At 41.8% G+C, this 14,116-nt stretch overlaps 1 long non-coding RNA gene across 1 annotated transcript in view, besides 2 other annotated features; it reads right to left on the bottom strand.

The window, feature by feature from the left end:
- The window catches only part of LOC105379566 (endogenous retrovirus group K member 18 Pol protein), a 61,897-nt gene extending 50,086 nt beyond the window's left edge, over window positions 1-11,811 (bottom strand). Inside the window, exons 1-4 of the long non-coding RNA XR_001756184.2 lie at window positions 11,617-11,811; window positions 11,017-11,257; window positions 9,542-9,600; window positions 5,549-5,608 (exon numbers count right to left, since the gene is read on the bottom strand). This is a non-coding gene — a long non-coding RNA (endogenous retrovirus group K member 18 Pol protein). The remainder of the gene's footprint in view (window positions 1-5,548; window positions 5,609-9,541; window positions 9,601-11,016; window positions 11,258-11,616) is intronic.
- Window positions 11,096-11,597: an enhancer, noted in NCBI's record as "H3K27ac hESC enhancer chr1:142890293-142890794 (GRCh37/hg19 assembly coordinates)". NCBI's record gives its function as "activates a minimal SCP1, AML or CMV promoter by ChIP-STARR-seq in primed H9 embryonic stem cells {active_cell/tissue: H9 hESC(primed)}" and the evidence as "EXISTENCE:reporter gene assay evidence [ECO:0000049][PMID:30033119]".
- Window positions 11,598-12,097: an enhancer, noted in NCBI's record as "H3K27ac hESC enhancer chr1:142890795-142891294 (GRCh37/hg19 assembly coordinates)". NCBI's record gives its function as "activates a minimal SCP1, AML or CMV promoter by ChIP-STARR-seq in primed H9 embryonic stem cells {active_cell/tissue: H9 hESC(primed)}" and the evidence as "EXISTENCE:reporter gene assay evidence [ECO:0000049][PMID:30033119]".

Below are 14,116 nucleotides of genomic sequence, written 5' to 3' on the forward strand. Positions count from 1 at the left end.
CAGGAAAGATCCAAAATTGACACCCTAACATCACAATTGAAAGAACTAGAAAAGCAAGAGCAAACACATTCAAAAGCTAGCAGAAGGCAAGAAATAACTAAAATCAGAGCAGAACTGAAGGAAATAGAGACACAAAATCCCTTCAAAAAATTAATGAATCCAGGAGCTGGTTTTTTGAAAGGATCAGCAAAATTGATAGACCTCTAGCAAGACTAATAAAGAAAAAAAGAGAGAAGAATCAAATAGATGCAATAAAAAATGATAAAGGGGATATCACCACCAATCCCAGCAAAATACTAAATACCATCAGAGAATAATACAAACACCTCTACGCAAATAAACTAGAAAATCTAGAAGAAATGGATAAATTCCTCGACACATACACTCTCCGAAGACTAAACCAGGAAGTTGAATCTCTGAATAGACCAATAACAGGAGCCAAAATTGTGGCAATAATCAATAGCTTACCAACCAAAAAGAGTCCAGGACCAGATGGATTCACAGCCGAATTCTACCAGAGGCACAAGGAGGAACTGGTACCATTCCTTCTGAAACTATTCCAATCAACAGAAAAAGAGGGAATCCTCCCTAACTCATTTAATGAGGCCAGCATCATTCTGACACCAAAGCCAGGCAGAGACACAACCAAAAAAGAGAATTTTAGACCAATATCCTTGATGAACATTGATGCAAAAATCCTCAATAAAATACTGGCAAACCGAATCCATTAACACATCAAAAAGCTTATGCAACTTGATCAAGTGGGCTTCATCCCTGGGATGTAAGGCTGGTTCAATATACACAAATCAATAAATGTAATCCAGCATATAAACAGAGCCAAAGACAAAAACCACATGATTATCTCAATAGATTCAGAAAAGGCCTTTGACAAAATTCAACAACCCTTCATGCTAAAAACTCTCAATAAATTAGGTATTGATGGGACGCATTTCAAAATAATAAGAGCTATCTATGACAAACCCACAGCCAATATCATTCTGAATGGACAAAAACTGGAAGCATTCCCTTTGAAAACTGGCACAAGACAGGGATGGCCTCTCTCACCACACCTATTCAACATAGTGTTGGAAGTTCTGGCCAGGGCAATTAGGCAGGAGAAGGAAATAAAGGGTATTCAATTAGGAAAAGAGGAAGTCAAATTGTCCCTGTTTGCAGACGACATGATTGTATATCTAGAAAACCTCATCGTCTCAGCCCAAAATCTCCTTCAGCTGATAAGCAACTTCAGCAAAGTCTCAGGATACAAAATCAATGTACAAAAATCACAAGCATTCTTATACACCAACAACAGACAAACAGAGAGCCAAATCATGAGTGAACTCCCATTCACAATTGCTTCAAAGAGAATAAAATACCTAGGAATCCAACTTACAAGGGATGTGAAGGACCTCTTCAAGGAGAACTACAAACCACTGCTCAAGGAAATAAAAAAGGATAAAAACAAATGGAAGAACATTCCATGCTCATGGGTAGGAAGAATCAATATCTTGAAAATGGCCATACTGCCCAAGGTAATTTACAGATTCAATGCCATCCCCATCAAGCTACCAATGACTTTCTTCACAGAATTGGAAAAAACTACTTTAAAGTTCATATGGAACCAAAAAAGAGCCCACATCGCCAAGTCAATCCTAAGCCAAAAGAACAAAGCTGGAGGCATCACACTACCTGATTTCAAAGTATACTACAAGGCTACAGTAACCAAAACAGCATGGTACTGGTACCAAAACAGAGATATAGATCAATGGAACAGAACAGAGCCCTCAGAAATAATGCCGCATATCTACAACTATCTGATCTTTGACAAACCTGAGAAAAACAAGAAATGGGGAAAGGATTCCCTATTTAATAAATGGTGCTGGGAAAACTGGCTAGCCATATGTAAAAAGCTGAAACTGGATCCCTTCCTTACACCTTATACAAAAATCAATTCAAGATGGATTAAAGACTTAAACGTTAGACCTAAAACCATAAAAACCCTAGAAGAAAACCTAGGCATTACCATTCAGGACATAGGCATGGGCAAGGACTTCATGTCTAAAACACCAAAAGCAATGGCAACAAATGCCAAAATTGACAAATGGGATCTTATTAAACTAAAGAACTTCTGCACAGCAAAAGAAACCACCATCAGAGTGAACAGGCAACCTACAAAACGGCAGAAAATTTTCGCAACCTACTCATCTGACAAAGGGCTAATATCCAGAATCTACAATGAACTCAAACAAATTTACAAGAAAAAAACAAACAATCCCATCAAAAAGTGGGCGAAGGACATGAACAGACACTTCTCAAAAGAAGACATTTATGCAGCCAAAAAACACATGAAAAAATGCTCATCATCACTGGCCATCAGATAAATGCAAATGAAAACCACAATGAGATACCATCTCACACCAGTTAGAATGGCAATCATTAAAAAGTCAGAAAACAACAGGTGCTGGAGAGGACGTGGAGAAATAGGAACACTTTTACACTGTTGGTGGGACTGTAAACTAGTTCAATCATTGTGGAAGTCAGTGTGGCGATTCCTCAGGGATCTAGAACTGGAAATGCCATTTGACCCAGCCATCCCATTACTGGGTATATACCCAATGGACTATAAATCATGCTGCTATAAAGACACATGCACACGTAGGTTTATTGCGGCATTATTCACAATAGCAAAGACTTGGAACCAACCCAAATGTCCAACAATGATAGACTGGATTAAGAAAATGTGGCACATATACACCATGGAATACTATGCAGCCATAAAAAATGATGAGTTCATGTCCTTTGTAGGGACATGGATGAAATTGGAAATCATCATTCTCAGTAAACTATTGCAAGAACGTAAAGCCAAACACTGCATATTCTCACTCATAGGTGGGAATTGAACAATGAGATCACATGGACACAGGAAGGGGAATATCACACTCTGGGGACTGTTGTGGTGTGGGGGGAGGGGGGAGGGATAGCATTGGGAGATATACCTAATGCTAGATGACGAGTTAGTGGGTGCAGCACACCAGCATGGCAGATGTATACATATGTAACTAACCTGCACAATGTGCACATGTACTCTAAAACTAAAAGTATAATAAAAAATAAAAATAAAAAAATAATAAAAATTTTTTGTCATGATTTTTGGTAAATGAATGACTTACGGTGACGTGGAATTCTATTTCATAACATCAAGTGTTTAAACCTTTAATATATTTAATAGGCTTCCCAAAATCAAATTTCAACTTCAAAATTGTCTTTTCTGACCTCTAATTTTGGGATACTACAGAGACCCCTGAAGCACCCAAAAGAGAGGTAAACAGGACTATTTAACATGTTAAGTCACATGGGTAGCACTGTCAAAATAAAAAATAATGTGGAACCTTCCTCAGGTTATATTTAGTGTGTGTCATCAATCCATTCTAAAATAGTGTAGGATTTCTAAAATTCTTGTATTTTTTTTTTTTCTGAGATGGAGTCTTGCTCTGTCACCCAGGCTGGAGTACAGTGGCGCAATCTCGGCTCACTGCAACTTCCGCCTCCCGGGTTCATGCCATTCTCCTGCCTCAGCCTCCCGAGTAGCTGGGACTACAGGCACCCACCACCATGCCAGGCTAATTTTTGTATTTTTAGTAAAGATGGATTTCACCGTGTTAGCCAGGATGGTCACGATCTCCTGACCTCATGATCCTTCCACCTCGGCCTCCCAAAGTGCTGGGATTACAGGCATGAGCCACCACATCCACCCTAATTATGGTTATTAAGTTATTGTAGACCACAGAAATAACCAAATTTCCTTGTCAATTGTCTTTAACTATAACTAAAGTCATTTCACAGTTAATTGCTTAATAGTGATGCAGTTTCTAAAAACTTCACAAGCATGCAAAATTCTAGAGTATGGTGTCTCTTAGAAGATTCATGAAAGAATGAAAATGACCCTGAAAAACACTCGTGAACACAGATTTCTAATAACTTTAATATCATGGGTAAAAATTCCCCATAAGTTCCCCGATACCCCAAGAATTGGACTGGCTAAGAATTCTCAACAGTTAGGCTGGGTGCAGCGGCTCATGTCGGCAATCCCAGCACTTTAGGAGGCCAAGGCCGGTGGATCACTTGAGGTCAGGAGTTTGAGACCAGCCTGGCCAAAGGTGAAACCCCACCTCTACTAAAAATACAAAAATTAGCTGGGTGTGGTGGTATGTGCCTGTAATCCCAGCTACTCGGGAGGCTGTGGCAAGAGAATTGCTTGAGCCCAGGAGGCAGAGGTTGCAGTGAGCCAAGATTGTGCCACTGCACTCCAACCTAGGTAACAGAGTGAGACTCTGTCTCAAAAAAAAAAATATCAAAAATTTAATAAAAAGACCAACTGGTTTGTAAAACTGCTAACCCAAGTAAAACAAAAATTGTATACCAAGGAAATATTATGCCACATTTTCATGCTAAATCACCAATATTGAAATTGTTTAGATATATAATTTAAATAAACTCCATGGTCTAAATCAAATTACCTATAACTACTCATCAGTTACCAGTGCCATGCACCTAATTTGGAGAAACAGCTGGTATTCAAGAGGATGTAAGTCTGATGTTAATTAAGCACAGACCTATAAAGAACCAGGATGGCCACCTTATCCTTCTTAAGTCCTAAAAACTTTTGTTATTAAAAGTTCTGCATTCCATAACTCATCACAGAAAGAGAAAACGATCCAAATTAAATATATTGGTGTGGTGATTTCTAAACTGCTAAAATAGTTTATAACCAATGTTTGGTTTGTGAAACCTATATTCCTAGGAAAACAATCAAAACTTCAGGTACATTTGGTTATCTGATGGGCCATTTAAACATTTTATAAAGGGATTTCATTCAGTTGTCATTTTCAGTGCATGTTTTCTGATTGTATAAAAGCTCTTCCATGCGAGAGAGTTGATGTTAAAACAGTAGATTATTACCCTGAAGTGTATTTTCACCAGGTAAAGAAAGCCTTTTATGGTTCACTGAGGACAGTCAAACCCTTCAAAATCTAGAATCTGATGACTGGATCTTCTGAGAACATCAGAGAAGGACTGCCCTCGCCATCCACATGACAACAAAACTTTAAAACCTTAAACTTTGGGTTCATAGTCTCACAACTCAGAAGGGTCCCTCCACACTCAGAACCATATGCCTATTGGAACCCTTAAGGTAAAGCTAACACGGACAGTTCCCCCCAGAAGAAGATGGCATCCTTAATGTGAACAGCTTTTCCCAAGATCACAGATCAAGACTTCTCTACTATCATGAGACTCTTATCTTAAGTATCTGTGCAGCTGCTAACACTTACAGCATGTGGAGAAAACATGGGGTATTATAAAGATTTGGTTGTAGGGAATTAACAAAAAAAAACCACTTAGTTAAGCAAGTAAACCCTTTATCTAATTCATTCTTTAATCTATTTGATTTTTGGTGGTTTGATTTATGGGGACCCTGAGTAAGGAGCATATACCACATCTTGGTGTTATCCCAATAGTCATAAGAGTCTCCCTGGTGTACTGTACTTACTCAAATGTTTCAAGAGTTTGCATGCAGCCATCTCTAAAATGTCAAATGGTATCTCTTCAACTGGAATGACAAGAGATTAAAAGAAATGTGCAACCATAAGGCCACCATAACCTATGAGTGACATGCTAAACTGGAAACCCAAAACAATGGGAGTGACATGCTAAACCAGAAACCCAAAACAATGGGAGTGACTTGCTAAAACTGGAACCCAAAACAATGAGAGTGACGTGCTAAAACCGGAAACGAAAACAATGGGAGTGATGTGCTTAAACTGGAACCCAAAACAATGGGAGTGACCTGCAAAACCAGAAACCCAAACAATGGGAGTGAGGTGCTAAAACCAGAACCCTAAACAACGGGAGTGATGTGCTTAAACCAGAACCGAAAACAATGGGAGTGACCTGCTAAACCAGAAATCCAAAACAATGGGAGTGATGTGCTAAAACCGGAACCCAAAACAATGGGAGTGATGTGCTTAAACCGGAACCCAAAACAATGGTAGTGACCTGCTAAAGCAGAAACCCAAAACAATGGGAGTGTCCTGCTAAACCAGAAACCCAAAACAATGGGAGTGACGTGTAAAACCAGAAACCCAAAACAATGGGAGCGTCCTGCTAAACCAGAAACCCAAAACAATGAGAGTGACATGATAAACCAGAAACCCAAAACAATGGGAGTGACGTGCTAAAACCTGGAAACCCAAAACAATGGGAGTGAGGTGCTAAAACCAGATACACAAAACAATGGGAGTGACATGCTAAAACCAGATACCCAAAACAATGGGAGTGATGTGCTAAAACCTGAACCCAAAACAATGGGAATGACGTGCTAAACCGGAACCCAAAACAATGGGAGTGACGTGCTAAAACCGGAACCCAAAACAATGGGAGTGACATGCTAAAACCAGAAACCCAAAACAATGGGAGGGTCCTGCTAAACCAGAAACCCAAAACAATGGGAGTGAAGTGCTAAAACCAGAAACCCAAAACAATGGGAGTGTCCTGCTACACCAGAAACCCAAAACGATGGGAGTGACGTGATAAAACCAGACACCCAAAACAATGGGAGTGACGTGCTAAACCAGAAACCCAAAACAATGGGAGTGACGTGCTAAAACCTGGAAACCCAAAACAATGGGAGTGAGGTGCTAAAACCAGAACCCAAAACAATGTGAGTGACGTGCTAAACCAGAACCCAAAACAATGGGAGTGACGTGCTAAAACAGGAACCCAAAACAATGAGAGTGACGTGCTAAACCAGAAACCCAAAACAATGGGAATGACGTGCTAAAACCGGAACCCAAAACAATGGGAGTGATGTGCTAAACCAGAAACCCAAAACAATGGGAATGACATGCTAAAACTGGAACCCAAAACAATGGTAACTAAGAGTGATGCTAAGGCCCTACATTTTGGTCACACTCTCAACTAAGTGAGAACTTGACTGAAAAGGAGGATTTTTTTTTTCTAAGACAGAGTTTTGGTCTGTCCCCCAGAGTGGAGTGCAGTGGCATGATCTTGGCTCACTGCAAGCTCTGCCTCCCAGGTTCAGGCCATTCTCCTGCCTCAGCCTCCTGAGTAGCTGGGAATACAGGCACCCGCCACCACACTTGGCTAATTTTTTGTATTTTTAGTAGAGATGGGGTGTCACCATATTAGCAAGGATGGTCTCAATCTCCTGACCTCGTGATCTGCCCACCTCAGGCTCCCAAAGTGCTGGGATTACAGGTGTGAGCCACCACACCCAGCAAAAAGGAGGAATTTTTAAAGCAAAATTATGGGAGGCCATTGTTTTGAACTAAGCTCATGCAATAGGTCCCAACAGACCAAACCAAACCAAACCAAAATGGAGTCACTCATGCTAAATGTAACATAATGAAACTAAGACTTTAGGGAAACACATAAATCCTAGAACAAACCAGGTTTTGTTTTTCTCCTGTAAACAGGATGTTCCAGCATAAGAAGATACCTTCTACTCAAGTCCTTGTTCCACCTTTTCAAATCTCACTGGTCTATTTCCCAGTGGGTTTCTAAACCAAGTAAGTACATTTGCAATGGTAATAGTGACACCAGTGACTGAAGTTTCGGCCAATCTCTCAAAATTGAGAAAATAACCAAAGGGAAGGCATTGTTAAAGTGAACTAAGTATGGCCTGAGAAGGACTCCATAATTCTATATATGAGTCCTTGTGGGTGAACTGCAACCTACCTTAATAGGTATACAAGAATGAAAAACTAACTTAAGAGTATGCACCTGGAACAACAGCTACATCTTGGCCAATCCCAATGGCCAAACTTCAACCACTCAGGCACTGCCAAATGTTCAAAATGTGTTCAAACAAGGCAAACGCTGAGTTGTTTCTGTACCTCACTTCCGATTTCGGTATGCCACTTCCCTTTTGTCTATAAATCTTCTTCCACCACATGACTGCACTGGAGTCTCTGTGAATCTGCTGTGATTCTGGGGACTGTCCGATTCATGAATCGCTTTATTGCTAAATTAAACTCCTTTAAAGTTTTTCTTTTAACAGAACTAACACAGAAGAATTTCCAGATCATGAACAGACGTTTTGTAATACCCAACGTTGTATTAACATGAATAGACTCTTCCTTAGACAGCTAACCTTGTTTTTAATATGAATAGACTCTCCCTTAGCTGAGAAAACCAGACAAACTCCATTTGGCTCCTTCATTAACAAGACATCAAGGACTCCTTACCCACCCCCTTTCCTCAAGGACTTTAACTTGTGCAAGCTGATTTTCAACATATCAAAGCGTGCAATTAACTGATAAAGTGCTGAGACAAGAGATGTCCCCAGTTCCCAGCAATTTACTCAGAGATAGTATCATAAAGCCCCCACATTTGTCCGGCAGATAATGCCCAGAGCCCCCTCACCTATCACTTTGTGGTGAATTTAAAGACCCTACACCAGGAACAGTTTGTTTTCCTGTAACCATCTGTTTTTCTAAGTTTTTTGTCTGTTTTTTTCTTCTGTAAAGTTGCTGCAGCTAGAATCCCCCCTCCCCTCTCTAAACCAAAGTATAAAAGAAAATCTAGTCCCTTCTTCAGGGCCGAGAGAATTTCGTGCGTTAGCCATGTCTCAGTCGCTGGCTAGTAAAGGACTCCTGAATTCGTCTCAATGCGTGGCATTTCTCTCTAACTCACTCGGGTACGACAGTTTCAACTATGGTAGAAGACTCGAGTAAGGCAAATACAGTCCCCCTAAATTTGACTATTATTCAGATTAATGGTGAGTTTAGAAGAAATAAGGCTACACAGAGTGGGCTAAAGTGCAAATAAACACTGGAAATATTTCCCAGAAAATATGACTTTGAACAGGCTGCTGCACACCCTGCATGTAGAGATAAACTAAGAAAAACGTGTGGAGAGTTATTTAAGGACCTATGGTTAACTCAGTCCTCAAGATGTTCCAGGTTTCATCCATGAATCAAGGAGGACCTCCCAAAGGCTGTTTGGGACCACACTCTTTGAGTAAGGAGCATACATTACGATGGAAGCTGTGTTTTAGCAGCAGATGACCATTTCCGCTGCACAACACGCCGTGCTTTAGCGGAAGATGACCGTTTCCACTGCACAACACTACAAGTGTTTACTGCCAGGCCGGTGTGAAATATGTTCCAGCACATAATCTATGTCACCAATGAAGGTGGTGGTTCAGACTTGGTGCACGCAAGCTTTCCTGTCCCACAAGAACACAGCATGCTCTCTTCTCGGGTTCCATTCCAATCACATAACAAACATGACTGCCTTTTTTGTCTCGGCATCAGAAAGATCAGAGGAAAATTTGCACTCAACTTAGACAACTCTAAGCTCTTATAACCTGCCTATATCTACAGGTCAGCTTTATCTTATTTATGTATATTTCCTTCAACCTGAGTTTTACTTATTTCTACTTTTCCTTTTTAATTCACAGACACCCATAAACTCAGAAAATACAGTGTAAAACAAAGTGAAGAACAAATAAACAACTCACCAGAGATTTATTCATTTCTTGTTGCTCTTGGAAACACCCAGAGGACACTGGAAACATAGCTGGGATAGAAGGCAAATGACGTGGATTAAGGAGAGAACTGGTGTGGTGTGGTCCCAGATTCTTCTGCCCAACACTCTAGACACATTACCTGGGAAAGCCCTCCTCCCTCCTGAAAAAGAAAAACTTCCCCAGGGGAGAAGAGTCCTTCACACCTCATTAGGGGCAGCAAAGACTCAAGTTAAGATAAGATACATCTACAAGTACATTAATTGGTAGACATTAGATGCACAATTTATTTTTGAATAAAAATATATATTACCTACTAATTTAGTAACAATATTATCTAAAGATATAATCTAATAATTTAATACAAAGAAACATTATAAGTTCACTAAAATAAATGTTATAGAAATATACTGGGCTGTATTAACTATTTTCCTATTAATATGTAGATTCCACAAATAACTTCATATGAGTGTTCCCATGACAGTACATCTTGCTTTTCTATACCTGAACATCATGGAAAGTGCATCTTGCAAACCAGCAATTTTGGCCTACAATTACGTTTTTTAAAATGTACATAATATGTATTTCCTGCAGTACACCATTCTACTCATGTTTCCCAATAACACCTTTCCTTCTATCCAAGCCCTCATATTATGCTCTGACAATAAATTGGGCTTTTCCATCTGACTTGTCCAGTGAATGGAAAATGGAAAATGTGATGCAAATATCCATTGGTTCTTTCCTTTTTGGGGGAAATTGTGAAGAGGTCTGGAGCTACCCTGTTGGAGACACAGGGCCTAGCCAAGAGTCACCACAAACCACCAGATTGTGAAGTAAACTATCTTAAACCAACCAGGCTCAGTCAAGGCACCAGGTGACTGAGGCCTTTTTGTGATCCAGGCAACACAAATATATTAACTACCCAGCTGAACCCACCACACCAAAGTGCAGATCCACAGAACTTCGAACAAATAAAATGGTGGTTGTTTTTTATAAGCCAGTAAGGTTTAATTAGTTCCTTAAACAGCAAGTATTAACTGTTACACCTAAGTGAACAGAATTCACTTCTGTGTTTTTAACAAAATTACGTAGGGGGAGAAAATGTTAAATTACAAATCAAATACAATCAATAGAACTTCGCAATCTAATGTTAAATTTGGGGATGGACTAGGTTTAATATATCTCAGACGCTGGAAAAAACGAGCTAAGGTTGAAGGAATGGGACTGTGTTTGGAGAGTATTTTAATCCTCTCAAGTATGACAGGTCACTGCTGTACCCCAGACCACACTTTCAGGCCCCTTCAAATAAGGAATATTTCCTAAGTCCTTGCCTGTTCTTCTTAGCTGAATTCACCTCAACCTTCTGAAAGTTCGTCCAAACCTTCTACTATCACCTAGTCTTTGCAAATCTTGTGCATTCTAGGGAGTAGAATTAATATTTCCTGAGCAAGGAAAACTGGGATCTTCACCTGTGACCTTTTTTCCTCCTCTGAAGCACCAGTGAGAGGTTAGACCAGATGGCTGTTCTTTCAAGTGTGCTTCTTATTCATAGGGAACCCTCCCTTTCAAACTTTGTAACACACAGTTAAGACTGAAGTATCCTTAAGGCTGACGACCATCATCCATTAAGCCATCTCCCTCGCGGAATCAGTGAGTTCTTCCCTGGAAACTAGGTCTCGTATAAACTTCTGTAAATGCGACCCAGGAGGACTAGGCAGGTCACACAGTGAAGAAGGGAACCAGAAACTTCACTTGCTAAAGAGACACCAGGAAACCCAACTAATACAAACGCCAAGTTTAAGACTAGAGGCGCACGCGTTTCACACTACTCCTCTGGGAATGGGGAACGTCTCCCGAGAACTGTGTGTTACCACTGGGACAGATGGGCAAACTGAGCGTCATGCAGGTTGGTAACCGGGTCCCTCAGCGGCAGGACAGGAGCGCGGCCTGCAGACTCCGGGCCCAGGGCCACCGGCCTCTCCTACCTGCTCCTGCGCCTCTAGAACCCGTTTCACTGCCGGGACCCCACGCCTGTCCTCCCAGCCCCCGCCAGGGTCCACTGCCCGCACCTGCACTTCAGGCCCTGCCCGCCCGCAATGTGCCCACGCGTCTGCTCCCACAACTAGGGAACACTGGTCCGGCCCCCCGGGATCCCCTGAGGCCCACGGGTTCCTCTTCGCCCTTGCACCGACCCGCAGGGACATAGAACCAAGCCCCAAGCCGGCCCGGCTACAGGACCGCCTCTGGGTGCCGCACTTCCGGAGGAAAATGGCGGAGTGGGCCGGGCGGCGCAAGCGCAGAGAGAAAAGCTGGTTCCCAAGGTCCTTGATGGTAACATCATTGGAAGGTGACACTACAATTCCCATGAGACTTTGCGGTACCCCGTTAGGAACCCAAGCCGGACATTCTGTTTTGCCCAGCAGTTGAGTCCAGTTACCCAGAGACCCGGACTTAATGTATCAGGACTGGTCCCTACCCAGGTGACACAGATGTGGCATTCTGGTTCTTTATTAAATCCTGGTTTCACAGCCTGGGACATTGTGAAAATAATGGAGAAATTTCAATAGAGGCCAATTGGTCTATGCTATGAATAAGTTGTTTTTTTTTTTTTTTTTTTTTTTGAGAAGGAGTCTCACTCTGTCGCCCAGGCTGGAGTGCAATGGTGCGATCTCGGCTCACTGCAACCTCCGCTTCCCGGGTTCAAGCGATTCTCCTGCCTCAGCCTCCTAAGTACCTGGGATTACAGGCGCGTGCCACCACACTCGCCTAATTTTTGTATTTTTAGTAGAGACGGGTTTTCACCATGTTAGTCAGGCTGGTCTCCAACTCCTGACCTCGTTATCCGCCCTCCTCGGCCTCCCAAGGTGCTGGGATTACAAGCGTGAGCCACTGCGCCCAGCCCTCAAGTCTATTTTTTATAGATGCATTCGAAAGCATGAAAAAAATAATGTCTCTATTTTACTTTAAAAATTTTAAAACACAACTAATGAATATGGTAATTCTCTTCCAATCCGTTATCTTTTCTCTCACTAAACTAATTTGTGAGCCTTCAATTTACACTGTTAGAAAATATGCTCTAGTGCACATACTAGGATAAAATAACAGGGTCATAAGACAGGTGCACTCCATAATCTTTGTGACAACTTACACTTCCAGTGTCTGATAAATATTTGCCCGTAGACTCCCAGGTTTCATCCATCCATCCATCAATCAAATCTACCTATCTTTATTTATTTATTGTGAGAAAGACCTGAAATTTGCCTTTCCTTCCCTGATGTCTGCCACAAACTAGGCAAGGAGTTCTGCCTAGGGGTTTCTCAGAGCTCCGGCTACCACCGAGGTTCCTAACAGGGAAATGCAGGCTTGAATGCTCAGGGTTGATGTGGGAGTGCGTGTGAAACGGGGATGGGGTGAAAGGGCAGTGACGTTTGTAGGTGGGCAGATGGGGGTGTGATGGGCTTTCAGGTAAGAGGCACGCAGGAACCTGGGAGAGGCAGCGAAAGCACCTCACGCCTCAGATCACCAGAAGACGCTCCCACCAGTGCCATGACAGTTTGCCAATGCCATGTCATCACGAGAATTCCCCACCCCTTGCCATGGAAACAGATGGAAGTTACTGCCCATTTCTAGCTATTTCTGAATAACCCGCCCCTTAATTAGCATGCCATTAAAAGTGAATTATAAAAATGACTACAAGCCACCCCTAGGCTGCTGCTCTGGGAGCACAACCCACGGAGGGCTCCCTGCCCTGCCGGAGTGGACGCTGTGCTGTAACACCGCCAATGCCTCCGTAGAGCTGCTTTCTTCCACCACAGGCTTGCTTTTGGATTTCTTCCTAAACGACGCCAAGAACCTGCCCTTCCTCAGTGTGACTCTTGCCTAAAACCTATCCCTGGTATTCTCTTTTCCTAAGCATGCCCTGACTTGTTCTTTCATCTCCTCTGATCTTGCAATTGGTCCTCAGTGACTCTATTCTGCAGATCCAGAAAACTCAACCTTAATCTTCCCAGAGCCCTGTTGTCTCCAATATTGGAATCTCTAGCCTTGTTTTCTCAGACGCCTAGATTACAGGCCTCTCTCTTGAACACCTATTGGTATGGTATCTGGGGATCCTTTAAATACATGATGATTGGCAGGGGTTAAATAGCGGAAATCAGTGCCTGACAATTCGCCTTCCAGGATATGGACTGTCATTCCCTCTCTTGGTGGGCCTCAGTCTCTTATCCATAAAAGTAGAGATTGTAATACTCATTTGAAATGCAGATACCTCAACCCGAACCCACCTAATATAATGTAAAAGCCAAGAATGCAACCCCTTTCCTCACCCCGTGAAGGTAAAGCCCTCAGAGCCAAGGAGAGAAGGCTCAGGGATGGTATCTGGGTGTTTCCAACGCTAACCATGTATTGTAGTTTTTAGTGTTCAAGTTTAAGCTTCCCCAGCTTTAATTCTATTGTAACAAGATTTATTTTTTTAATTCCATTTTTGGATTCTTGATTTATTGGTAAAGAAATACAGTTATTTTTGTATACCAATCTTATATAGTGTTACATTCTTAAGTTTGTTCATGA

The sequence above is a fragment of the Homo sapiens genome, unplaced genomic scaffold (genome assembly GCF_000001405.40).
Source record: "Homo sapiens unplaced genomic scaffold, GRCh38.p14 Primary Assembly HSCHRUN_RANDOM_CTG42".
NCBI classification, from domain to species: Eukaryota; Metazoa; Chordata; class Mammalia; order Primates; family Hominidae; genus Homo; species Homo sapiens.